The sequence below is a fragment of the Homo sapiens genome, chromosome 1 (assembly GCF_000001405.40).
Source record: "Homo sapiens chromosome 1, GRCh38.p14 Primary Assembly".
Lineage (NCBI taxonomy): Eukaryota > Metazoa > Chordata > Mammalia > Primates > Hominidae > Homo > Homo sapiens.
The window spans coordinates 178,499,971-178,524,851 of record NC_000001.11 but is presented as its reverse complement, the minus strand read 5'-3'; the positions used below and the strand labels follow the sequence as shown (position 1 = coordinate 178,524,851).

The following is a 24,881-nucleotide window of genomic DNA, read 5'->3' as shown; positions in this document are numbered from 1 at the left end:
AGTTGTACATTTGTGTGCATAACCATATAAATCTCAATGTTTCAAGTCTTTAAAACAATGAAGAGGAGATAGACACATTCTTATCTGTTGCTAAGTAACAACAAATTACCTCAAGACTTAGCAACTTAAAAACAACAAGCATTTATTATTTCATGGTTGCTGCAGGCCAGGTGTCTAGGAGAAGCTTAACCGAGTGGTTCTGGCTCAGGATCTTCTCAGGCAGTTGCAGGCAAGAGGTCAGCCAGGGTTGCCATCATCTGAAGGCTCTACTGGGGCTGGAGGATTCACTTCCTGGTCAAATGGCTCACTCAAATGGCTATTGGCAGGAGGCCTCAGTTTCTTGCCATGTGGCCCTCTCCACAGGATTGCTTGGGTGTCCTTACAACATGGCAGCCGGCTTCACTCAGAATGAGTGTCCAAGAGAGAGCAAGATGGAAGCCACCATGTCTTCTACGACTTAACCTCAGAAGTAATACACATCACTTCTGCTATGTTCCATTCATTAGAAGCAAGTCACTCTGTGTAGCCCACACTTAAGAGGAGAGGAACTGGGTTCCTCTTGAAGGAAAGAGTATAAAAGGAGTATCAAAGAATTTGTGGGCCTAGTTTAAAACCACCACAGCACAGAACTGAATAGTGCAGTGTTCCCAAGTGTTTGGAGGCTTGGTAGTCAAGGGACAGGGTCTGGGAAGTCCCCTGTGGTGGGTAGAATAATGTCCTGCAAAGATGTCCATGTTCTAACTCCCTGAGCCTGTGAATATGTTATGTTACCTGGAAAAGGGGAATTAGAGTTGCTAACTGGCTAACCTTAAAATAAAAAGATTATTCTGGATTACCCAGGTGGGCTCAATGTAATCACAAGGGTCCTTAAATGTGGTAGCAAGAGGCAGAAGAGTCAATGTCAGAGTGATGAGGCACAAGAAAGATCCCATGGCCATTGCTGGCCTTGAAGATGGGGAGGGACCATCAGCCAAGGAAGGCAGGTGGCCTCCAGAAGTGGGGAAAGGCCAGGAAGCAGATTTTCCCCTAGAGCTTCCAGAAGGAATGCAGTTGTGCTGGCACCTTGATTTGAGCCCAACAAGATCCATCTTAGGCCCATTTCTTGTTGTCTTAAGTCATTAAATTTGTGGTGATCTGTGACAGCAGCAATAGGGAACTAATACAGAGTTCTGCCCACCCTTCTTCTTTTCCCTATTTCTGATCCATTTCTGCTTTCATCACATGCTTATGATTATTGTACTTATTTCTACACGGTCCATATTGTTATTCTGCATGTTTGCCATCTCACCTTTAAAGCTATAAGCTCCTTGCAAACAAGGCCTACATGTGTTTTGAGTTTTGTTTTTTAAATATTTATCTGAAGCACCAAATACATTGCTCATTAATTTGCAGCCATTAAGAACTTGACCCGGAGAAAAGGGAATCTTTGTACACTGTTGGTGGGAATGTAAATTAGTACAGCCACTATGGAGAACAGTTTGGAGGTTGTTCCTCAAAAAACTAAAAATTGAGCTACCATAGATCCAGCAGTCCCACTGCAGCGTATATACCTACAAGAAAGAAAATCAGCATATTGAAGAGATATCTGCACTCTCACATTTGTTGCATCACTGTTCACAATAGCCAGGATTCGGAAGCAACCTAAGTGTCATCAACAGATGAATGAGGAAAATATCGTACACACACACAATTGAGTTCTATTCAGCCATAAAAAGAATGAACTCCTGTCGTTTGCAACAATGTGGATGGAACTGGAAATCATTATGTTTAGTGAAATAAGCCGGGCACAGAAAGACAAACATCGCATGTTCTCACTTATTTGTGGGATCTAAAAATGAAAACAATGAAACTCATGGATATAGAGTAGAAGGATGGTTACCAGAGGCTGGGAAGGGTAGTCAGGGGCTTGGGGGCCGGTAGGGATGGTTAAGGGGTACAAAAAATAGAATAAATTAGACCTACCATTTGATAGCACAACAGGGTGACTACAGTCAATAACTGTACATTTTCAAATAACTTAGAGCGTAACTGGATTGTTTGCAACTCAAAGATAAATGCTTGAAGGGATGGATACCCCATTCTCCATGGCATGCTTATTTCACCTTGCATAACTTTGTCAAAACATCTCATGTACCCCATAAATATATACACCTACTATGAACCCACAAAATTAACCATAATAATAAAATTCCAAAAAAAAAGAACTTGGCCAATTATTTATTAGATGGTAGAAGCAGCCAGCTTAGCAAAGAGATGAAACAAGGAGGAACTGGTGTGAAATAAAATATGAAATCCCATCATTCCTCGTCCTTCAAATTGAAGCCAAAGAATCACACCCAGGGCAGGACAGTTTCTGAAACACTGTTTGCTCTGTATCTTCTTTACTCTCATTTCAAGCTGGCAGTTAAGCTTCACCTTCCCTCAGTCTGGGACTTTGGGGCAGGCACAGCGTGGCCCACAGAAGGTTGGGTGGTCACTGGCTCCTCTCCACCTTTGTAAAGGCCTGAGGCCTCTGAAGGAATGTTCCCTTTGGGGGTGGAGGGAGGGAGAGGAAACCTTCAAGGGGGTGAGAAGGGTGGATCCCCAGAACCCAAGAAAGCTACCCAGTTCCTATGAGCAGCAGGGACCTGAGTCCTGCTTGGTGACAAGACCTCAGAGGGGTGTGGTGCAGGCAGAACTCGAGGCTGAGGGGTTCCCTGCATCACCCAAGACACCCTGGCCCCATGCACAGGTGGAGGCTGATTATGTGGAGGGAGCGGATGGGCCAGGCAGCAGGGTCTCTCCTGAGACCACACAGACTGGCGTCCGCTATCATCAGGGGCCCTCCCCATGCTATGACCTGGGACGTTTGCAGACCCAGGTGGAATGGAGGGAGGTGGTGGTTGGGAGGACCCTAAGATGACTAAGATGTAATTTCCCACCAATCCATCAGGAAGCAGGGGGAAGGGTTGGAGTCTGAAATACACTGATATAGAACCAAAAATAATCAACCTCCACACACTCAAGTTTTGGACTGGTACTCAAAACCATGACATCCCCTTTGGCTTTGAATGAAGGTTTTTAATCTCCAGTGGAGGCCTGGGGTTGGGGTGGTATTTAACAGGACAAGAAGCCCTGACTGTGCATCTTAAGGAGCTTGGAGGTGATGAATCGGAACTGCTGGTAGGTTCTGCAGCTGCGCTAGGTTGGAAACACATATTCGATGTCACCGGGGTTGAGGTACAGATAAATCAGAAGGCAGCTCCAGAAGCCAAGGGTGAAAAGGGTGCCCAGACCTGGTGTGAATATTTCCCACTGGATGGGGAGAAAGGGCAGGACCTGAGGCAAGGTCAGTTCCGCCACTAGTGGTGCACCCTCCCCACCATGGGAGCCCCAGGCAGCAGCCTCTAGGCTGGGTGACCCAAGTCCTCCTTCCTGGTGCCACATCCTGTATGACTGAGCATGCTGGGTGGCAGCATCTGCTAACAGTCCCTACTCCTGGCACAACCTCAGGAGGGGTGTGATGTGAATGCGGCTGGGAGCACATGGCCTTGGGGACAACAAGGCACCTGATCGAGAAAAGGCACATCTTGTATGAATCTACCTACCCCGATTGTAGTTGTTCTTTAGAGCACACAACAAACATTTCTCCTGCAGAGGACAGAAACGGCACAAGAAAGATCAATTTCCCCTGGTCCAAGAAGGGCAGCCTGCTAGGCACCTTATCTGCCCTTGCTAAAGGGAAGGACAGAATAAGAGGGTGGAGCTGGCGGGTAGGCCCATCCAGGGTCAAGTCCTGCATGGTCACAGCTAAGGAGGCTCCACAGGCCTAGAAGGCAAGGCAGGTCAGGGAGGGCGCAGGCTCGGGCGGCACCCAGAAGTCAGCAGCGGGCGGACCTGTCCCTTCACTATGATACAGCACAAGCTCGGGGAAGTCACCAGGGAGCCGGAGCCAGGGGTCTGGCACCAGTGCTGGGCTCGGGCAGGGTTTCACTTACGCAGCAGGTCCCACAGTGATGAAGGGGATCCAGTGAGCCCTGTTTTGTTTTTTGTGGTGCCATCGTCTTCTTGTGAAGAGCACAGGGTGCTCCATTGACTCCACTGGCTCCATCCATTTTCTTGGGCCTGAGCTGTGGTTCTCTGTGAGTCTTTCCCATCAGCCTGAGTTCCTGCTGCTCCTTTGGTGCTCTTCTAAGGGGACTGGGGGAGGAGGGCCAGGGAGGGGCAGAGAGTTGGGGAGACATTTTGCAGCATGACAAGGAGATAACCAGTACACGGGTGGCCATGGAAGGCCTTGACTCCAAGTCACAGGGGCAGTAGGAGCAAAGACAACTCCTCCAAGAGTCTGGGTGTCCTCTGAACCCCAAAGGGATCCAACAAAGGGAAGGGAGGAGACCCTTTAGGGATGAGGAGAGACGAGTGCAGGTTACACTTACAGCTTATAGTTCTTCTGTGTATTTATTAAAATGTCCATCTTCTCATCCATATCTTTCTGCATTTCCTTCGAGAGAGAATTCAGAACTAGCATCTTCATTTTGAAGGACTTTGGAAATACCTTCCTCCTGCCTCTCTGCAAACCATTCTGCATCTTACTTCCTCAAGAATCCTCGCTAGACTTGGGTGAGGTGGCTTTTGGAGTGTCCGTGACATGTACAGCTTCTCCCCTTCCTCATCCCCCTTCCCCAATGAGACGAAAGCACAGGCAGAGACATTAGGGGACTTTTCTGAAGTCTCTAGGTGAGCCAGAGGCCAGCTACTGTTTTATCTGATCTCACACTTTGGATAAAACCAATGCTTGCCTTGGTTTGATGCCTATAAAATGATGGAACCAAGAAGACCAATCTTGTGACCCCAAAGACAATTTGACTGCAATGTTTTGACCCTTGGCATGCACCCAGATCCTGCATATTTATGTTTGCTTCATCTTTTACCTAATTCCTGGCAAAGATGGTCAACAAAAAGTAAAATGACAGCAGCTAAAGGGATACATCACACGTATTATTCGCTCAGAACAGAAGGAATAATAAAATCTTGACAAAGTTTTGATCTATAAAATGTGACCTGGGTAAATTGAATGGAAATAGTGGACATGAGAAAAATTCTAAGATGGTAGAAGCTATAACTGACAATATTTGTCACAGAGAAAAACAGGTTTGGGTTGTCATAAAACAGAAATAAAAACAATTTATTCCAATAAAATAATTTTCATTAAAAATGAAAGATTTGGTAACAGTTTAATTGATGTACTATAGAAAATTGATCAAGAAATTACACCATCTGCATAGAGATGATTTCATAAAATACCTTCTTGAAAAGCATTTTTAAATGTTAGTACAAATTTGAATAAAATATTTGTATTCATAGAGTCAAAATATCCTTGAAGTCAATGTCCCCTAGGTCCAAAACATCAGAGTCAAAATGTCCCATATTCTTACACGTTTCACCAACATGTACCCCTTCAAAATCATCATGTTCCAAACTGATTTCATTTTCCCAAGCTACCTCTATCTCCCCACTGTCATTGTCATCGTCACCACTTTCTTTTAATCAACCAGATTAAAATTTGGTGTCATCACGGACGCTTGCCTCTCAAGACTTCAGTCTCCATATTGAATCAGTCACCAGGAACTGTTATTTTTCCCTCAGTGCATCTTTCAGATTTATCTCTTCCTTCTTTCCCTACACCTGGTCCAGCTGTGGTGTTCTTGCTGTCAGACATCTCCACCTGCTCCCTGGGCCCCACCCAGGCCGCCTTGCAAACAAAACCTGCCGGGCTAAGCTTTTTGAAGTGCTCCTCCCAGAATGTTCTTTGATTAAGAATCTCCAGAGGCCTCTTGCTGCTCACAGAACCAAGTCCTAGCTTGTCTGCATGTCTTTCAAAAGCCATCATTACCTACAGCCTTTGTGCCCATTCATTTTTTTTTTCCCTCACAGTTTCCCCCAGTGGTCCCACTTCATGACTGATCCCCGTGCTGACCACCATATACAACATACTCCTCCTGCCTCCTGCCCTGCTTAAGGGGTTCCCCTGCCTGAAATCGCCTCCTTTGTGCCTTTCCATACCCAGCCTCCCCACCAACAAAACACTTAACTTTGTTTGGATTTTAACAGAGAAATAATTAATGCATGCCCTTTGTAGAAAATTTGGACAGTACAGAGGGATATAAAAGTATGAATATTCTCATCCAGAAATAACTGCTATGAACCCCTTTGGTATATTTCTTTCCAGTCTTTTTTCTATATATTTGCTTATTTTTTTTAACCTAGCTGAGATCAGCCTATGTATATTACTTGTATCTTGCTTTTTTAGTTCTTATTATAAATATTCTTTCTAAACATTGTCTTTAATAGTTCCTAACTTTTATTATATAAGTATTTCATAATTTATTTGGCCATTCCCCTACTGTTGAAAATTGAGGTCGTTTCCAAATTTTTATTATTACAAATAATCCTGTCATGAACATCTTTTTATGTATACCCATGATGGCGTTTCTGATTATTCTCATAGGTTAAATTCTAAGAAGTGAAATTGACAAATCAAGAGGTTGATTTTTTTATATCTATTGTCTAACAATGTTCCAGTTTTGTACAAATTTGCACTCTAATTAACAGTATAAGAGCATTTATATGTCTTATACTGTAATTGTAATAAATTAAAATTTTGCTTGAGTGTAACAATAATTGATTGTTCATTTGCATGTATTTAATTATGAGGTCAGGCCTTTGTTAATATGTTTATTGCTTTTTAGTTATATTCTCTTCTGTGGATTGTCTGTTCACACTCGTCTATTTTCCTACTTAGTTCTTATTGATTTATGTGAACTTTATATGTTATGGATAAAAACCTTTTTTCTGTGCTTATATTTTTGGAAAAATGTTCCCCCAAACAGTTTCTTTAATTCTGTAAATGTAAGTGATTTTTCTGTCATAATTCTTTTAAAAAAATCTTACATAGTTAAATATATCAATATGTCCTTTGTAATTTCTTCCATTGTATTTATATTTAGAACTTCTATTTACATATTTACTTAACATTTCTTCTTATTGGTTTTTATTATTTAAAATCACTTCATAGACTATTTAGCTTTACAGTGTTAACTGGCTTAAGTTTTTTCTTCATATAGTCAAGCAATGTTTCTAATATTACTACCTAATCCTTTCCTTCTGACTGACATCAAAAAATCACCTTTATCATATTGTAAATTCTATAGAGCTGTGATTCTCAACTTGAGTATACACTGGAATCACCTGGGCAACTAAAACCCACTGGCGTCTGGACCTCATTCTAAGAGCTTCTGACTTAATCGTTATGAGGTGTAGCCTGGATGGGGAGGGCATAGGTGAAAGGCTTTCCAGGTGATTATAATGTGCAGCCAAGGTTAGTAACTGCTGCTAAAGTGTTTAGGACCTGGTTCTCATCCACAGGCAAGCATCTGAATCTAAACGGAGTTTTAAGCAACTCCGGCCCACCCTGGAGATTTTTATTCAGTTCCTCTGGGAAAGGGTCTAAGTAAATGGAGTTTTAAAATTCTCACAACTGATTCTCATTACATCCCAGGCAGAGAGGCTGTTGAGGCGTTATCTATCCCATTTCATTCATGTGTTTGGTTATCGTTGGGCTGATTTAATAACTTTGTTTTTATCGTGAATTTTAATATCTGGTAAGGCTAATGTCCCCTTACAACTCTTGAAAAATGGGTACCTATTTGCTTTTGCCAGCTTATGCTTCTCAGTCTTTCCCCTGGGAACTTGTCTAAACTACAAGGGCCCAGCACCATCTGAACATGAGCCCAGGCTCTGTTTTATTAGTGTTCCAGGTGATTCTGAAACACACCACATGTTGTCAATCACTGCTCTAGAATCTAGATCATCCTAGTAATTTTTTGAGTTAAAAAAGAATCTTACTGGGCTCTTGATGAGATTTGCATTAAGCTTCCCATGCAGTCTTCAAGGCTCAACTTGAGACTCACTTTCTCTGTAAGGACTTCGCTGCTTACTCCAACCCGCATTCATTTCTCATGTCTCTAAGCCCCTAACTAGCAAACAACGAATTAATTATTTGGCTTGCAATGCTTTCTTGCAATGGAATATGGGACTACTAGTAGATAATAAGCTCCTGGAGGGCAGGGTCTGCTGGTGTCTCTTCCACAGTTTCCAGTATGGTACTGGCCCATGGAAGGCACTCAAGTAATGCTTACCTTCATAATTTCCACAAATTCGTGAAGTTTATCAAAATCCTTGTCCATTAGATCCTTTATCTAACAAGGAAGAAAGGCATGGCTTGACAAAGCACAGAGCATGTTATTGAGGTTAGTTGTGGCATCTTTCAGGCATTTTAAGCAAAGGGCAGTGGCTGCTTCTCTGGCATGGACTAATAATGGCCTGTTAGAGCCACTTTCTTCTCAAGGAGTCTGTGAAGGGACTAGGGTGCAAGCACCATCAAGTCACCACCACCATCAGCCTTGGCACGGCTTAGATCTGGCTACTGCAAGACTGCATGTGGAGCTTGAACCACAGCTTCGATTACACTTTCTTGCTCGATTATTCGCTTTTTTCCTAAGGATGCTACAGGTGGTTGGTTGGTTGTATCATAGAAATGAGAGGTTTCCTGCTTTGCAACTTGCTCAGGGGAAGTGAATAAGGAAGATGGGGTTGGTCCCTGACTTCCCCTAAATTCATATTCCAAATCAGCCCCTCTTACTCAGCTTCATCACTAAGGTGACATCACCCACCCTTACCAAAGAGACACTTTAGGGAGTCCTCAGTCACTCAAAAATTGGGTTTAGGCATCAAACAAGTAAGAAGTGAATAACCTAATACTGAAGTGCTCTGGGTATTAGGACTGAGTTACATTTTTCCATGCAATTCCTGCTTTCCTTCACTATTCAAACTTAAGGATTGCATTTTTCCTGAAGCTACACTTTCCCTCCATGATATGGAAGGCCTCATCTTCTTACCTGTTTTATCTCCTCCATTTTCTCCTTGAGCTCTTCTCTCACTTCCCTGAGTTCATTCTGAGGAAATAAAATGGAGAAGAGAAGGAGGAAAGAAATATCTAGGATGGAGGGGAAACCATCAACAGGAGGAAAGGAAAGATCCTGGGACACTGTCAGAGAAAAGCTTTCAATAGGGAGGAAAGAAAAGATGTTGTTGAGACAATAGGATAGACCAGGTGCACTGGCTCACACCTGTAATCCCAGCACTTTGGGAGGCCAAGGCGGGAGGATCACTTGAAACAAGGAGTTTGAAACCAGCCTGGGCAACATAGCGAGACCCCCACCCCCATCTCAAAATTAATTAATTAATTAATGTTTTAAAAAGACTATAAGATAGTGGGACCTACAGGCATCATGTGTCTCTGCCAAAAAATGCACAGCCTGAATCTCATCATGAGGAATCCAACAGACAAAGCCAAATTGAGGGTTATCCCACAACATAAGTGATCTGTAATCTGTAAAAATGTCAATGTCCCCAGACGAGGTGCAGTGGCTCAAACCTGTAATCCCAGCACTTCAGGAGGCCAAGGCAGACAGATCAGCTGAGGTCAGGAGTTCAAAACCAATATGGTGAAACCCTGTGTCTACTAAAAATACAAAAATTAGCTGGGCATGGTGGTGCACGCCTATAGTCCCAGATACTCGGGAGGCTGAGGCAGGAGAATTGCTTGAACTTGGGAGTTGGAGGTTGCAGTGAGCCTAGATCATGCCACTGCACTCCAGCCTGGGCGACAGAGGGAGACCTTGTCTCAAAAAATAAAATAAAAATAAATAAATGTCAGTGTACCCAAAGAAAAAGAACTGTTCTGTTCCAGATTATAGAAAAGACACCTGGTAATTCGAGGCAATGTGTGATCCTGGATCAGACCCTAGACCAGAAAACGTCCCCTTTCTGTTGTTATGCAACACATGTGTGGGACAACTGGTGAAATTAGAACAAGGGCTATAGATGAGTATTGTCTGTGTGTTAACTTCTGGATTTTGATAATTGCACTGTGCCTATGTAAGAGGATATTCTTGTATTTAGGAAACAGGCACTGAGGATTTGGGGAAAACTTACACTCACGTGGTTTGGAATATAGACATGCCTCCAAGTTCACGCACTCACCTTTAGGTCCTGTGTCACTCCTGCTTTGGTAAACCGCCCTTCTTGTTTAACTGCTTTGTAATCAAATGTCTGTGGATTGAAACAGGAACACAGACCTTTGGGAATTGCAGATGGGCGGTGGAAGTGCAGAGGCAGAAGAGATCCCCCTGTGTTTCTGTTCCTCCCTTAGGGCTAAGGCAAGAGGAAAGCTGGTGGCCCCACCTGTGCAGAAGGTTCCTCTATCCTCCTCCCTCTTTCAGCTCATCTTGTTCCACTCCCCTGCTGGCCCACGGGGCCTCAGCTCCTTTTGTCCCTTGAACAGCCAGGCTCATTCCCACCTTGGGCCTCAGTGCATGCTGCCTCCTCTGCCTAGAAGGCTCTTACTCTGCCTTTGCAAAGCCAGAGTCTTGTCCTTCAGCTCTCAGCTCAAAGGAAGGCCTTTCCCTACCACCCACTCCACGGCAGCCACTCAGACATGTCTCCCTGTCTTGATTCCCAGCAGAGCAGGTAACACTGCTGAATGAGTCCTTGTTCGTTTATGTATCTGATTGGTTACAGTGTGAAGTTCTATGAGAGCAAGAACTCTCAGTGCATCCCCCAGCACCTGGGACAAATCTTGGCCACTAGGATCAGCAAATGACCCCTGACTCCTGGTCACTTCCCCATGGATCTCAGGCCTGGCTGCCTGCATGGCCTCAAAAGGGCTTCTTACTTTGGTCGGCTCTGGCTTCAATTCCAGGCAAACTGCCTTGTAGTTCTTGCTCTGCAAAAAGAGGAGACTGAGATTCAGGCTGGCAGACATCAGGATTGGGGAGGAGAACATCTGGCCCTTGCACGGGAACCCTGCCCCCTGCCCCCCACAACCATGCAACCCTGCCTGTCCAACTGGCTTGAGCTCAGGCTCACAGACCCCGCAGCACCCGGATCCGATTCCTAACAAATCACATCTTGTCGTGCTGTCCTCTTCCTATGGGCGTGTGTCTGCCTATTTGGCAGGCAGCCCTCTCCCTGCTGGAGGCGCCAGCGTGGAGAAAGCACTTTAAGATAACTAGAAGCAAGCCCCGGAAGTGTTGTTTCCAGAGCAAGGGCTTTGGCCATAGGCAGATTTGCACTATAGTCTCAGCTGACCTCTCTACTATCTCTGTTATTTTGGGTGAGTTGCTTAGCCTCTCTGAGCCCCCATTTCCTCATCTATAAAATCGACGTGATGATTATATTTATCTAATAAGGTTATTCTGAGCCTTAGCCCTGCTGGTTAGATGTGGGCCTGGCAGGCCTGGCATGGGCCGTGGAACCATGAGTGGTCTTGGAGTAGGGAGTGCTCCCTTGGCAGTGCTCCTCATCCCCAGAGGGAGGCAGCAGAGGCCTCTTTCCTTCCCACCCCCAAGGCTAGGGATTAATCCCACACCCCTTCCAGACTGAGAGGCTGCTTTATGCTCAGTACAGAGAAAGAAAAACCAGAGATTCATGCGAGCATTCTCTGTATCCCTTGCCCCGACACCATCTCCATTCAGTAGGAGCTCAGAGAGGACCCACACTGTCCAGCAATGTCTCTCTTTTACCAGATGTGTTTTCTTCAATTCTGCCCTCTTGGCCGACATGATGGAGGAGGCCAGGGTGTTCTTCAACTCCCCACAACAGCCCCTGGGACCAGGCCACTGTCCTAGGCAACTTACAGGTCAAGGTGAGGGCAGGGTGACCACCCCTTTGTGTACGGAACAGCTGAGGTCACAATGCCAGGACCCACATGGTGGTCCAGAGCGTCACCACAGCTTCAGGCCTGGGGGGCTTCGGCCACTGAGATGAGGGGTTCAGGCCAGGTTTCAGAGTCCCACCAGGCCTCCCTCTTGCAACAGAAGGAAAGTCCACACTGAGGAGGATCATGGCCTGCTACGGTCGAAGTGCAAGGCACGCGTCAGAAGCAGTGGCTCCTTCTGCAGCAGGACTCACCTACTGACTCAGAAGGACGTCCTCCAGGGACAGCCAGCTCCTCCTCTGAGCGCACAGCCCATGTCCTCTGCTGTGCGCTCCTCGCGCGAACCGACCCCACCTCGGACCGGAAGCCACCTTGGGCTGGAGGATGCCATGAAGTCTCTCTGGTTCAACGTGCATGCACCGTCTCACTTAACCTGGGTTACTCTGTATGAGGTGGGGTAGCCAGTCTCAGCAGGATGGTTTCTGATGCCTCTGACCTCACACTGCCCCTGTCCCACAACCACCCCCAGACCCCTGCCCACCTAAAAATTCTCTTTTCCTAGTTCTTCTATCATCCGGGAAGAGGGTTGGGACAAGAAGCTAAAGATAAGAAGCTTTTCGGGCAAATGAAGAATACTAAAGAAAAGGCCATTCTGCGGGTAGCCATAGTTTGTGCTAAAGTAGACAGTCAGAGGAACATGGCACCCCATGGGATAAAAAATCACTGGGGATCTGGGTTGGTGAAATTGATTTCTCTTTTCCTCTTATCACTGGTCATTCACTTCCTTCTTCCCTCTCATTTCAACTGCTAGTTGCACAGAAAAGGCCAACATGGACATCTGAGGACAGACAGCACAGGAGTACAGGAACTAATGCAAATTGCATGTGAATGACATCCCCATGCAGGCCACTACTGACCACACTTACCCTCCCATTTCACACACCTGCTTGGGACTATCCTTCCTGGAGGCCACTGGAACTTCTGGAGCCACCTGCAGCACTTCTGATGCATTTCCTAGGTGGTGATTTCCCAGCCCTGACACTGGTGACAGCTGTGGGTCTTACTCCACCATAGCCAGAGGAGAATGTGTCTGCCACTGCATCAGCGGAAGGAGAGGGAGTTGGGGGTGGTCACCAGCTTCCCAGGCTTCACTTTCCCCACTTATAAATGAGGGGCTGGAACTTTTCAGTTTCCTTGGACCTTTTAATTCAGCCCTCTCAGATCTGATGGCCTCGTGGTAGGAATGCCCTTCCTCTAAGGGAATTACAGTGAAAATGACTGACTCCATCTCAACATCCACCAGCCCCGTGAAAATGTGCCCCACCTCCTTCTGCTAATTTTGGCTTGGGGGCCTCCTGGACCTGCAGTAGAGCTTCCCTTGCTTGGCTGAGCAGTTGTTAAATGAGCTGCCTTCTAGCCAAGCATAGCACATGAGCCCACTGGCCTATCTATTAGGAAAGAAGGTCTAAGAGAAATCAGGGTCTCAATGCAAAGCTGCATTATAAAGTAAAAAATTATCTATGTATATATACACAAGTACACATGGTATTATCATTTGGGCAGAATTTTAACTACAGAGCCACAGCTCTGGGCTTGTGCCTTCTCACAGCGTTTACTATTCATGTTCTCAAACATTGTACACCATTGTTTTATCGATATATTCTGGCGGGGCTGGGGGAATCCACGTGGCGAACCTGAATACTGATTATTTATTTATGAAGAGACAGGATCTTGCTCTTTCTCCCAGGCTGGAGTGCAGTGGTATGATCATGGATCATTGCAGTCTCGAACCCCTGGACTCAAGCAATTCTCCTGCCTCAGCATCCTGTGTAGCTGGGACCACAGGCATGCGCCACCCCACTCCCAGCTAATTTTTAAAATTTTTTTGTGGAGACAAGGTCTCACTATGTTGCTCAGGCTGATCTCCAACTCCTGAGCTCAAGGGATCCTCCCACCTCGGCCTCCCAGAGTGCTAGGATTGCAAGCATGAGCCACCATGCCCAGTCTGAATAATGATTCTCATATTCTTTTAAGAAGCTTTTGCACCTGCAAGAGAAACGAGGTTGAAGCAGTGTTGCAGTGTTGGTATTGCTGTGGTGTGACTTTGTTCTAGGTAAGCCATAGGACGTTCTTACTTGAAGAACGCCAGACACGCTTTTCCTAATCCCCCTTCAGGGCAAAACCCCTCTGTACCAGGGCAAGCAGCATAGAGCCCACTGCTGCTCCATCGGAGTTTGGGGGAAAAGGAATATTCACAACAGACAGAAAGAAGCAGCCACCTGTCTCTGTTCTCCAAGTTGATATCATTTGGGTTTCATTTTCTTTACAAGGGTCCTGCTTTTTTTTTTTCAGTTTTAAGGATACAGTGTTGTGAGGGGAGGCTGGGGTCGGGGGGAATTTTAAAATGGTTTTAAGCCTCTGAGTTTGGCATTTTGTGATTCTGGGTCTGGCCCATGATGAGGTCCAGGCTCAGCCACTCCCTGCGTCAAGGCCCAGAGAACATGAAGAGAACATCATGCGTGCTGAGGGGCCTATTCGACCACTGGGGGCCCAATGTTCTAAAGTCCTTTGATTAGGGTGGAACATTTCACAAAGACCCAGAATCCCACAGGCTTTGCTGTCCAGTCAAACTCAAACAGACACGGCTCAATACATGTGACCTAGACGACTCACACTTAGGATGCCCTGGCTGTTTACATCCCAACAGGCTGCAGTATCTGGGTGGCTGCCCTCAGCCAGAGACGATCTTACATGAGATCCTCTTACATGACATTTTTAGAGATCTCATATGATTGATTCCTGTGTCATCCTACTTGACTGATTTATAGACACCTTGGAAAGCTTTACTCCGAGCAGAGTAGAAATAGCTTTTATCATTGGCACACTGATTACTATGCAATTTCTGATCATTTTTATCATAGTGTATCAGACCTTGGCTGGAATCATAATCCTATTATGTTGTTTCTTTGGAAAATTTATATCCAGTTTTTATCATATGAACTTCCTGGTACCTCTATTTCAGCAACAAAACATAACAGTCTGAACAGATCATTGTAAATCTCTGGCTATTTCAATACAGCCAATGACAAGTGAAAAGTCTGAGCAAATGTATTGTGGAAGGATCTTCTCTGTAAGTTCACCATGACAGGCCTATGCTTGCCAGGGCCTTCTGAGACCCAGGGGAAACTGCTACTCTTCCCACAACCAACCATCACAGGGCACCTACCATGTGAGATAAAGACAACACCGCCAGCCAGCAGAGGCTCTCCCTGCTCCTGCCAAACAGGGCTCCTGAGGCCTCCTTACTTAGCCAGTTCCCTTTACCCTCTTTGGATGGAACCCAAATAGAGTACAGTGATGATTTCACGCCTGTCTCTCTCAGCTTCCCTGCCGGAAGGTGCTCTGCAGTTGAGATTCCCTCCCCTAATAGCCTCCTGTCCACCTCTGACAGCTTCAAATTCCCATCCATCACTGAAACAATCAAACTGAGTGGCACAGTAGCCTCTTGGGGCTGGCCTTGCTGGGGGACTATGCTTCACACAGGGTCCATGGAGAGTGGAACGTCTCAGATGGGAGGGTTTCTTGGGTTAGTCCTGGGAATAGCCCTCGTCTCTCCCACTCACATTCCTTTGGCTGGAATATAATCACAAGGCCATATCTCACTGCAAAAGAGGCTGGGAAATATGGCCAGGTTTCTCCCAAGAATAAGAGGAGACAGGCTTATGGGGCAGGCAGCTAATCTCCGCTATACTTTCCTGACACATTTCATCTTCCTTATTCTACTCTAACAAGTCTCCTCATAAGAAAACTTGATTTCGAGTTCTTCCACACTTAGGGTAAAAGGGAGGTAGCTTACAAGGTCCAAAATCCATGAAGTCAGTAGCTGGGTTTGGTGGTGCACGCCTGTGGTCCCAGCTACTTTAGAGGCTGAGGTGGAAGGATTGCTTGAGCCCAGGAGGCCAAGGCTGCAGTGAGCTAGGATCACACCACTGCACTCCAGTCTGGGCAACAGAATGAGACCCTGTCTAATTAAAAAACAAAAAACAAAAAAGAAGAGGAAACCTACACTGGACACTCAAACAGAATGAAATCTCCTAGCAAATGTGAACTGGAAGAGTTAGGATTAGGGTTAGGGACTCACCTCTGTGTCACCTGAATGGCCAGTGGGCTGGAGCATTGAGACAGAGACTGGAATAATGATCTGGTTTGTCCAGGGCTTTCCCGTGCAATAGTTCCAGTCTGTCCCAGTCCCAGTCTAACCCAGTCTCATTCTGTGGAAGGCCCTGCAAACCTCCCTCCCCACCACAGGCTTCTGCCCTTCTGCAGCACAGAATGTGGGTCTGGTCTACACTTCTCTTGCTGTTCTAAGCCCTCTGAGTAGCACTAGGGCCCAACCAAGTTGCCTCAGCTTTGCCAGCCCCTTCCTGAGGGGTGGGCCCTGCTGCTGTCTTCTTGGCTGAGAATCCATAACCTTCTTCAGCTGAACCTTTGTGTCCAGCCCCATGAAGCCACCTGAACTTGATTCCTGCCTGGAGATGCCAAATGCTAGGCCCCACCCACCGAACATGGCAATGACTCAGATTGAGCCAAGTTTTTCAGAACCCGGAGATACTGACTGCTGGTTGGCATCCAGTGGGGTCAGCCTGGCCATTGACTCTTTTACATCTGGTTTACCTCCTTCCCTTGAACGTTCTGCCCCCGAGGTCATTAGGACCTCAGAGCTGAGTCCATGTGAACATTGGCCCAGAAAGTTTGAATCCTCTTCTCTTGGTAGGGGTTTGGGCCTAGGCTGGAGACAGAGCATTTCTCTCTCTCTCTCTTTTTTTTTCCTTTTTTTAATTTAAGACAGAGTTTCACTCTTTTCACCCAGGCTGGAGTGCAGTGGCATGATCTCAACTCACTGCAACTTCCACCTGCCACGTTCAAGCTATTCTCCTGCCTGAGCCTCCCAAGTAGCTAGGATTACAGGACCCCATCACTATGCCTGGTTAATTTTTTTTTTTGTATTTTTAGTAGAGACGGGGTTTTACCCTGTTGGCCAAGCTGGTCTCGAACTCCTGACCTCAGATGATCCGCCCACCTTGGCCTCCCAAAGTGCTGGGATTATAGGCATGAGCCACTGCGCCTGGCCTAGAGCATCTCTTACCTGGGGCTGTGGGGTGGTGATAAAAGTGAGGGAACTTGTAAAGCCAAGAGTCACGTAGAGAGCTGAGGTCAATGTGCTCAAGAAAACTGGTTAAGTGGGTCTCCAAACAGAGAAGCCAAAGGCAGATCCTGAGAGCTCTGGTGGAGAGACCCAGGGGAGATGAGAGAAGTGAGGGAACTGATGCTAGCATAGACATAGCCAGCCTGGGAGGTTCTCCTGGGTGACTGAGTGGTGAGTAGGGAGCATCTGGGTGCATTTAAAGACTAAGAATTAGGCAGTTTCCAAGGTGGTTTGCTCCTTTCTTCTTGTTACATCACTGAGCCCTGTGCAGGGCTGTGGATTTTTTCTCTTGTTGGCAAAGAGCATTGGTAGAATGCTCATAAACAGGCTGTGTGGTTTTCTAGAACTTGAATTCAATGGATTCTATTTTCCTCTCGCATTTAATGCCAAAATATTTTTCTTCTCTAGTTTAGGTTTAACAAAGTTAAACAATATACATCCAGATCCACGTTGATATGCTGGACATAAGATTGGGTTGTGTTTAGCTCTGAGTCACGCCCTGAAGAAACCCCTGCGAGGCATCCTGTTTGCCTCTGTGAGTGGAGCGAGGGAGCCAGCTCCCTGAATCAGCCCATCTCCGAGGTGGCTCCGAACATTGTTGCTGGAAGCTTAGAGTCCAGCCTTATTCTCTAGTCCTTCCAACAATTAAACCAGCTGAATGTGGATTCTCTTTGCAACTGAGAACCTAACTGACAGAGCTGGCCGCATGTTCCTGGTCATTGTAGATCTTTGGGGATGCCCAGGTGTGCAGAGGTAACTCCTGGTTGGTGACCCATGAGGACACTTCCTATGCAAACATCAAGGATGTCTACTTCGTGCCATGTCGTGAATTCTCAGGGTAGGTAATTTCGACTCGTGGCCATGAGCAAAAGGAAGCCCGATGTGTTTCTGTTTAAGCCTCTCATGATTTTTTTCCACAAATGCTCTCACTTGGCTGGTTTTCTGCAGCCAAACATCAGACCTTTTACTGCACCCAGACACCTGGGACAGCCTTTTCCTCACAGAGGGTTGAGGTATCCTTATCTTATCTGCTCACCCAGCATGCACTTTCACCAGCAGCCCTGCTTGTGCAGTGAGCAGCCAACAGAAGCCTGCTTCCTGACGCTTCCGGCTCCTCCCTACATGGGACTCTGAGGTGTTCTTGAGCCATGTGACAAACCAACACTTCAAGATGAACCCTCTGGGGCCCTGGACTCTGACTTAAAGCTGAGGAAGAGGCATAAGTGACATTACTCTTCTGGGTGGCAACATGTGTGAAAATTGCCCTCTAGGGAAAGACAACTTGGATTGAATCAAACGCTAGAGCAAGCTGCACTCATTTGCCAAATCCCCTAAACACACATGTGAATTTATTTGTATCTAATTATTGATTAAACCCCATTGATCCCCTTCTTGTGCCCTCATCCCTCGAAAGACCATGATGATCATCCAGAGAAACCCAGCCAGAGAAACACGGATCCCGGGGCCTGCCTGGCTCTCAGCCCCACAGCTCGCTGGCAGGCCCAGGCTCCGGGCCAGGCTGGCTCTTAGCAAGCAGCTCTAGTTCAACATGCAGGTGACACCACACCCATTCCCATGTTCATTCAGCACAGGCTTCCTGAGCATCTACCATGCGTCAAGCACTCTGCAAGGCACCAAAGGCACACAGGTAATTAAGACATGGTGCTGGCTCCTGGGAACTCACCATCCATGAGGCTCACAGAGGCATCATTTGACCATTTTAGCACAAGATGGTAAGTGTGATGCTTGCGGTAGGCTCAGGGAACTGAGGGAGCCCAGAGGAGGAGCACAACCCAGCTACTGGGGCTGGGTCTCTGCCATGTTCATCTGGACCTCATTCCTGGCCTGGTGAGCTTCCCAATACCCCAGCTCCCCAAAATCCTAACTCCTCTGAATCCTAGCTCCCCTGAATCCTAGCTCCCCTGAATCCTAGCTCCTCTGAATCCTAGCTCCCCGGAATCCTAGCTCCCCTGAATCCTAACTCCCCTGAATCCTAGCTCCTCTGAATCCTAGCTCCTCTGAATCCTAGCTCCCCAAAATCCTAGCTCCTCTGAATCCTAGCTCCCCTGAATCCTAGCTCCTCTGAATCCTAGCTCCCCTGAATCCTAGCTCCCCTAAATCCTAGCTCCTCTGAATCCTAGCTCCTCTGAATCCTAGCTCCCCTGAATCCTAGCTCCCCTAAATCCTAGCTCCTCTGAATCCTAGCTCCTCTGAATCCTAGCTCCCCTGAATCCTAGCTCCCCTAAATCCTAGCTCCTCTGAATCCTAGCTCCTCTGAATCCTAGCTCCTCTGAATCCTAGCTTCTCTGAATCCACTGCAGGAGCCAGGCAGGGCCACTGAATGCCAGGCTTTGCCAGTCCCATTGCCTGCCTGAGCCTCTGAAGACGGCACACCCCCTCCGCTCATCATGGGGAGCTCCTGTCCATGCTGGGCCCTGGGGGGGCAGTGTGCCCCTGTCATATCAAATGGCTCTTTCTTCTAGCAGAGACCATGCTCACCTGTCCCAGCAGGCATGCTGCATACCAAATCAGCCCTCTGTCTGCTCCACTGGCCCAAGAGCACCTTTGCCTGGCCTTGTCACTGCACACAGCAGTTTGGACTGGACGGAAATCTACACATCCTCTAAGACTGTTGAACAACAAGGTGTTCTCTGAGCTGTGTGTGTCAGACTGACATTTCACCACATGGGGGTCTGGGCAGCTAACATATTCTTGTTTTTGGAGGTCCTATCATTCCTGCCTCAGGAAATGATGGGCTATTCATAAACGCAGCAGCCCTTGGGTTCTGAGTATTGTCTCCTTCAGCTGTCAGTGCTCAGAGAATAAGAAAAATGGGAGCCGGCCGGGCACAGTGGGTCACACTTGTAATCCCAGCACTTTGGGAGGCCGAGGCGGGTGGATCACCTGAGGTCAGGAGTTTGAGACCAGCCTGGCCAACATGGCAAAACCCCATCTCTACTAAAAATACAAAAATTAGCTGGGCATGGAGGCATGCACCTGTAATCCAGCTACTCAGGAGGCTGAGGCAGGAGAATTGCTTGAATCCAGGAGGCGGAGGTTGCAGTAAGCTGAGATTGCACCACTACACTCCAGCCTTGGCAACAGAGTGAGACTCTGTCTCAAAAACAAAAAAACAAACAAAAAAAGAAAATGGGAGCCACAGAAGTCCACAGGAAGGACACTGTGAAGTGCTGGCCTGGTGTCCATGAGACTCCTCTCACTGATGCAATAACCTTACCTGGCCTTCATCCTGCTGTTCCTCTGGACGTCCCACCCTTCCTCCCTCTTGACCCGTCACTTCATCTCCTGAGCAGAGCACATCTCCTCCCTCAGCTGTGGCGCTTACGGCCCAGCCTCAGGGTAGCTGACCACTGGGTGGACTGCAGGACCTTCCTCTCTTGACCTTCCTTCTCAGGCAGTTCCAGCAGGAGCTCTGGGGCTCTCAGGCCCCTCCACTCAGATCCTGTCCCCTGGCTGTTGGGATGCCAGCTCCTCCCTTCCTCCCTTTGTCCCTGTTGGAGACCTGCAGTTCACCCAGCCCCATGGCTCCTGATACCAAGGCAAAGTCTCCCAGAAGGACATTTCTCTCTCTTGGCTCAGTGATAGGAATGGGAATGGGCACATTCTAAAGCCCCCACCTCCTCCTGCTCTCATTCGTGGTGTTTCCTCCCCTGGCACCTGGCTAATATAAGGGTATTTGTCTAAACCCCACGCCCCCACCAGCCCCTTTTTCCAGGATGGAATATCCCGTTTTTCAGATTCCCTTGAGCAGTCCTCAGCCACAGCTGCACCTGCCACAGCCCCTCCTGAGCTCACTCTCAGACATCCTCTCAAGAGTGCAAACCCCAGCTCCATGTATGGCCCCTCCTGGGGAAGCCCCTGGCCCCGCCTCTGCAGCCTCCTGCTGCTCCTCAACCCGTTTCCACAGCTTGGTTCATGCCAAATGGGAGAGCAGCTTAGGGGCCGGGGACACATGGCACCATTTCCTCATGGAAGGGTGGATGGCTCAGGCTTAAAGAGATGTTGATCTGTCCCATTGCTAAAGGGCAACTGATGAGGAGCTTGGGGCCTGCATCCTCTGTTTCAATGTGTTTCAGTGGCCCTGCCAGTCTTCTTCCTTGTGGGTCCTTAGAGTCAATGGTTTGCCTGCTGGGATACAGGGAACCACTGTCACAAACCAGGTAGTGGCTTGAGCAAGCATTTTTTTTGTGTGTGTGCGTGCCTGTGTGTGTGTATGTGCGTGTTTCTTGGAGACGGAGTCTCGCTCTGTCGCCCAGGTGGAGTGTGGTGACATGATTTCAGCTCACTGCAGCCTCTGCCTCCTGGGTTCAAGCAATTCTCCTGCCCCAGCCTCCCGACTAGCTGGGACTACAGGTGTACGCCGCTATGCCTGGCTAGTTTTTTGTATTTTAGTAGAGACGGGGTTTCACCGTGTTGCCTAGGCTGGTCTCGAACTCCTGAGCTCAGGCAATCTGCCTACCTCGGCCTCCCAAAGTGCTGAGATTACAGGCGTGAGCCACCACACCCGGCCTTGTGTGTGTTTATTTAGCCCACATGACTACCCTAAGAAATAAACACTGCTGCTATTCCCATTTTGCAGGTGAGGAAACTGTTTAACTCAGAAGTTAACTTTTCTGAAGTCACAGCTAAATGGGGGAGCCATGGCTACACAGCCAGCACATTTGACCTGCACCCCAGACTCTTCCCCGAGGGGCATACACCCTCCACCTTCCTTGCTTGGGGAGTAGAGGGGTGGACTGTGTTGACCACTGCACCCCGTGACAGCATTTCCCACTTGACATTTGTAAAATTGTGGTTTAAAAAAATGAGTAAATAGACATGATCCCTGCTTTCCCAGGCCATGCCCCGATGCAGGAGGGTCATCTGCATAGTGTGGATGGAGGGACTCCATCCTTTCCCCCGATAACTCAGTTGGCCTGAGGCGGGTCCTGGAATAGCAGCCTTGGGAAATGAGCCTGGGCTGTAATATCACACAGCCCTGCTCTAAACTCCAGGTCCTTGCCATACCAGTTACATGGCCTTGGGCAGGTTTCTTAACCTCTCTGAACTTGTTTCCTCATTTGTAAAATCGGATATTATACAGTACCTACCTCATAGGGTTTTAACATTTTATTTCTAAGAATTAAATAAGGCAAAGCATGCGAAGGGTGTGACACATGCTCCTTGTGAACCCTAAGTGCCCCCAAAGGCCTCTAGTTCTTGGGGACGATACCCTCCAGTCCTTACTCCTGTCCCAGGATCTCGCAGGGTAGGATGCTCCACTTAGCAGAGACACCAGTGCTTCCCTTTTTTAATGGCTCCACTCCCACCCCCAGGGCTCTGGACCCAGTTCAGAAGTATGTTGGGGTGGGAGTTGGGGGGTGGAGGAGGCTTTAGGGACAGGTGCTCCTGTGGCGGTCCCTGCACTGTCCCTGAAGCCAGCTTTTTCAGAGGCACCCATCACATGTGGTGTGTACCCAACCCACTCCCTCCTTCCCCCTTCCATGAATACTTGAAATAAATAAAATATTAAGAGGAAATTAATCATGTATCTAACCAAGCTATTGGTATGAAATACTTGCTGAAGAAAATTATATGAAGCAGAACAGAAAAGACCAAAACAGTTATATAAAACAAAAGGAATTTAGTAATTTGAAAGGTAAGAGGATCAAAATCAGAGATAATATACATATTAGGTTAATGGGAAGAAAAATAGTCAAATTAGGTACCTAGTATTAACTCAATATTTAGTTGTAAAGGAATCAAGTAGAATTGTTTCTATTTAAGACTAGCTATTAAAGCAGCACTTAAACAGGGGGAAGGGGGTGGAATAAATGAAAGATACAAGCAGCAGTAGCTTAGAATGCAAGGGTTCACCCTTCCTCTCCCCCACCAGCAAAAAGGGCTCTTCAGGTTGAAGGAAGCCGGTCTGGCTGCCCAGTACTGAGTGTTTGCCCCTAGGGGGCGCCCAAGAACAGAGGCTCTCGCCAAGGGATCCAAGTGTTCCAGAAGTACCCCAGTGACCTGCCCCAGCTGCTCCCCTGCTTTCCCTGCCTGCATAGGGATTTAGAGCAGAACTTTTCCCTTGGGCAGAAATGGCCCCACGAGGCACAGGCGACTTCACAGGTCATGTCCAAACCCACACAATCATCAGCAGGAAATCATTTTTATCCAACCACTCATTCAGTCAACATATACCGACTGCCCCTCCTTGCCAGGCATGGCAACCCACACTTATAACAGAGGATGTGGAAACAGATTTAGGTTACAAGCCGAATAAACAGTTCAGAGCAGGGAGCAGGAATAAAGGGAACAAGCTCCTCACCGCAGACACCCTACCTTTCAGGGTGGGCAGGTGTTCCTAAGAGCTGCCCCTCCATCCAATGGGACATGGCCTGTGGCTCTCCAGTGTCCACAAAATGAACAAAGTGCAGCCGAGCTTGAGGTCCTGCGGTCCTTGAGGATGATCTGAACCCACGCAGCTGATGGAGCCTTCGGAGGACACAGGTGCTGTCCCCGTACTGCCCTCAGAGCACAGCCCTGGTCTCCAGTTCACAGCGCCTCCCACAGGGAGAGGAGAAAACCTTCCTTTCTCTGAAGAAATGGAAGGAAGTCTAGCTGAGCCTCTTCTATGGGTCTGGGATGAGGTTGAGTGCTTTATAGACACGAGGCAGGATAAGCTTGTTAGGTAGTAATTTGTGTTTTTTTCCCAGAGCCCTAGGCGGGAGTAGGACCTCAGAGAGGAGCAGCCATGTGGGGGTCCCAGATTCTCAGAACATCCTCCGTCACTGGGGTGGCTCATCCATGGCAGAGCTGGCTGACCTCAAGTCACCCTAAGGACTGGAAACGGGTGTCTCAGTGGTGAGCAGTGCAGACAGGCCCAAGGCAAGACCCAGTCTCTTGTTCTTTCTCTACAGCCTGTGAGTATGTGTGCAAGAGAGTGTGTGTTGGGGGAACAGCCCTGAAAAAAGAGGGGCTCTAATTTCTTCCTTGCTTGGCAGGGTGAGCGCTCAGAGTGAAAGCTAAGTTGCTTTACTGGTTATCAAGGCAGCAGAATAACTGGGATTATCATACATTGGGGTAGGAGTAGAAAATGAGACACCCACTCTAGAAAAGAAAGTGTTTCCTGCACACTGGAATTTGTAAAGTGCATCATATTCATGACAAGGAATCCTCATGATACCGTAATGCCATTGTCAAATAGCTATGTTGACTCTCATCTTGTAGATGAAGAATCAAGGCTCAGAGAAAATCTCTCAAGCTGGCCGCAGGGCTGTTTCCACTGTGCCTGCTCCGATGGTTGGCAGGGGTACTGCGGCCACGGCACACAACTTTAGCAAAAGCACTGTGGGAAACGCAGCTCCCACATTGGGAATGCAGATCTGGTGGTTCTGGGAGAAAAGGTGTGGATTGTAGGAAAGTGAAAGTTGTCTGTCTATAAAGAAGGGTTCTTTAAGCCTGGGTAAAAATGGCATTCCCGTGTTCGGGGATAGGAAAAGAGTGGCTGGGAGTTTCCCTGAACCATTTGGCTTCCTGTAGCTCATGCAAACCAAGTGTTTGTTCCTGGGCCACTTAGGAAGCCTGCTCCTCCCTCACTCTTGGTTCCTTTGACCCTTGCCTAGATTTCCTGGCACAGCCACCAATGTAACTCACACACTGGGTGCCAAGGCTGTCCTCCCCCGCCTTCACCATCGGCCCTCTGTGTCTTGTTCAAGCCATCTCCTTCATTCATGTATTTAAGGTCTCTATGTACCAGGCAGAGCACTGCGTAGAAGCTGCAATCTAAAGAGAATAATAATAGCAAATGCTACTGTATTAGTCAGGGTTCTCTAGAGGGACAGAACTAACAGGATAGATGTATATATAAAGGGGAGTTTATTTTATTTATTTATTTATTTATTTATTTTCGAGACGGAG

At 47.4% G+C, this 24,881-nt stretch overlaps 1 protein-coding gene and 1 long non-coding RNA gene across 9 annotated transcripts, besides 1 other annotated feature; one reads left to right on the top strand and one right to left on the bottom strand.

The window, feature by feature from the left end:
- Positions 1-1,341: 1,341 nt before the first annotated feature.
- On the bottom strand, positions 1,342-11,743 carry TEX35 (testis expressed 35). 4 transcript variants are annotated; one of them, NM_001170722.2, is made up of 9 exons: positions 11,601-11,743; positions 10,775-10,825; positions 10,084-10,152; positions 8,937-8,993; positions 8,178-8,237; positions 4,416-4,480; positions 3,978-4,179; positions 3,588-3,630; positions 1,342-1,550 (listed from the first exon to the last, which is right to left on the bottom strand). In NM_001170722.2, the coding sequence occupies exons 1-9, from the start codon at positions 11,661-11,663 to the stop codon at positions 1,513-1,515; spliced, it is 648 nt and encodes a 215-aa protein (NP_001164193.1). In that variant the 5' UTR covers positions 11,664-11,743; the 3' UTR covers positions 1,342-1,512. The 4 variants fall into 4 exon arrangements, with proteins under 4 accessions (NP_001164193.1, NP_001164195.1, NP_115502.2 ...); NM_001170724.2 differs by having other exon boundaries at positions 11,625-11,743; NM_032126.5 differs by lacking the exon at positions 1,342-1,550 and adding an exon at positions 2,202-2,527 and having other exon boundaries at positions 11,625-11,743.
- A 58-nt stretch (positions 11,744-11,801) lies between these two features.
- Positions 11,802-23,394, top strand: LOC101928866 (uncharacterized). 5 transcript variants are annotated; one of them, XR_001738305.2, is made up of 6 exons: positions 11,802-12,210; positions 12,570-12,776; positions 13,796-13,871; positions 17,373-17,802; positions 18,552-18,697; positions 23,311-23,394. It is a non-coding gene; the product is annotated as an uncharacterized LOC101928866 (long non-coding RNA). The 5 variants fall into 5 exon arrangements; XR_001738307.2 differs by having other exon boundaries at positions 13,793-13,871; positions 17,690-17,802; XR_922305.3 differs by lacking the exons at positions 18,552-18,697; positions 23,311-23,394 and having other exon boundaries at positions 13,793-13,871; positions 17,373-18,353.
- Positions 22,761-23,205: a silencer, noted in NCBI's record as "S4 fragment used in the reporter construct". NCBI's record gives its function as "represses activity of a beta-globin enhancer-driven SV40 promoter in transfected K562 erythroleukemia cells {active_cell/tissue: K562}" and the evidence as "EXISTENCE:reporter gene assay evidence [ECO:0000049][PMID:30886051]".
- Positions 23,395-24,881: the final 1,487 nt, after the last annotated feature.

Excerpts from the sequence above, each read along its gene's own strand:
- TEX35 (NM_032126.5), bottom strand. The coding sequence starts at position 11,663 with ATGTCGGCCAAGAGGGCAGAATTGAAGAAAACACATCTG. Across the intron at positions 10,153-10,774 it reads TGAAGCCAGAGCCGACCAAA|ACATTTGATTACAAAGCAGT; the intron begins GTAAGAAGCCCT and ends TTCAATCCACAG. Across the intron at positions 4,180-4,415 it reads ACACAGAAGAACTATAAGCT|TCCCCTTAGAAGAGCACCAA; the intron begins GTAAGTGTAACC and ends CTCCTCCCCCAG.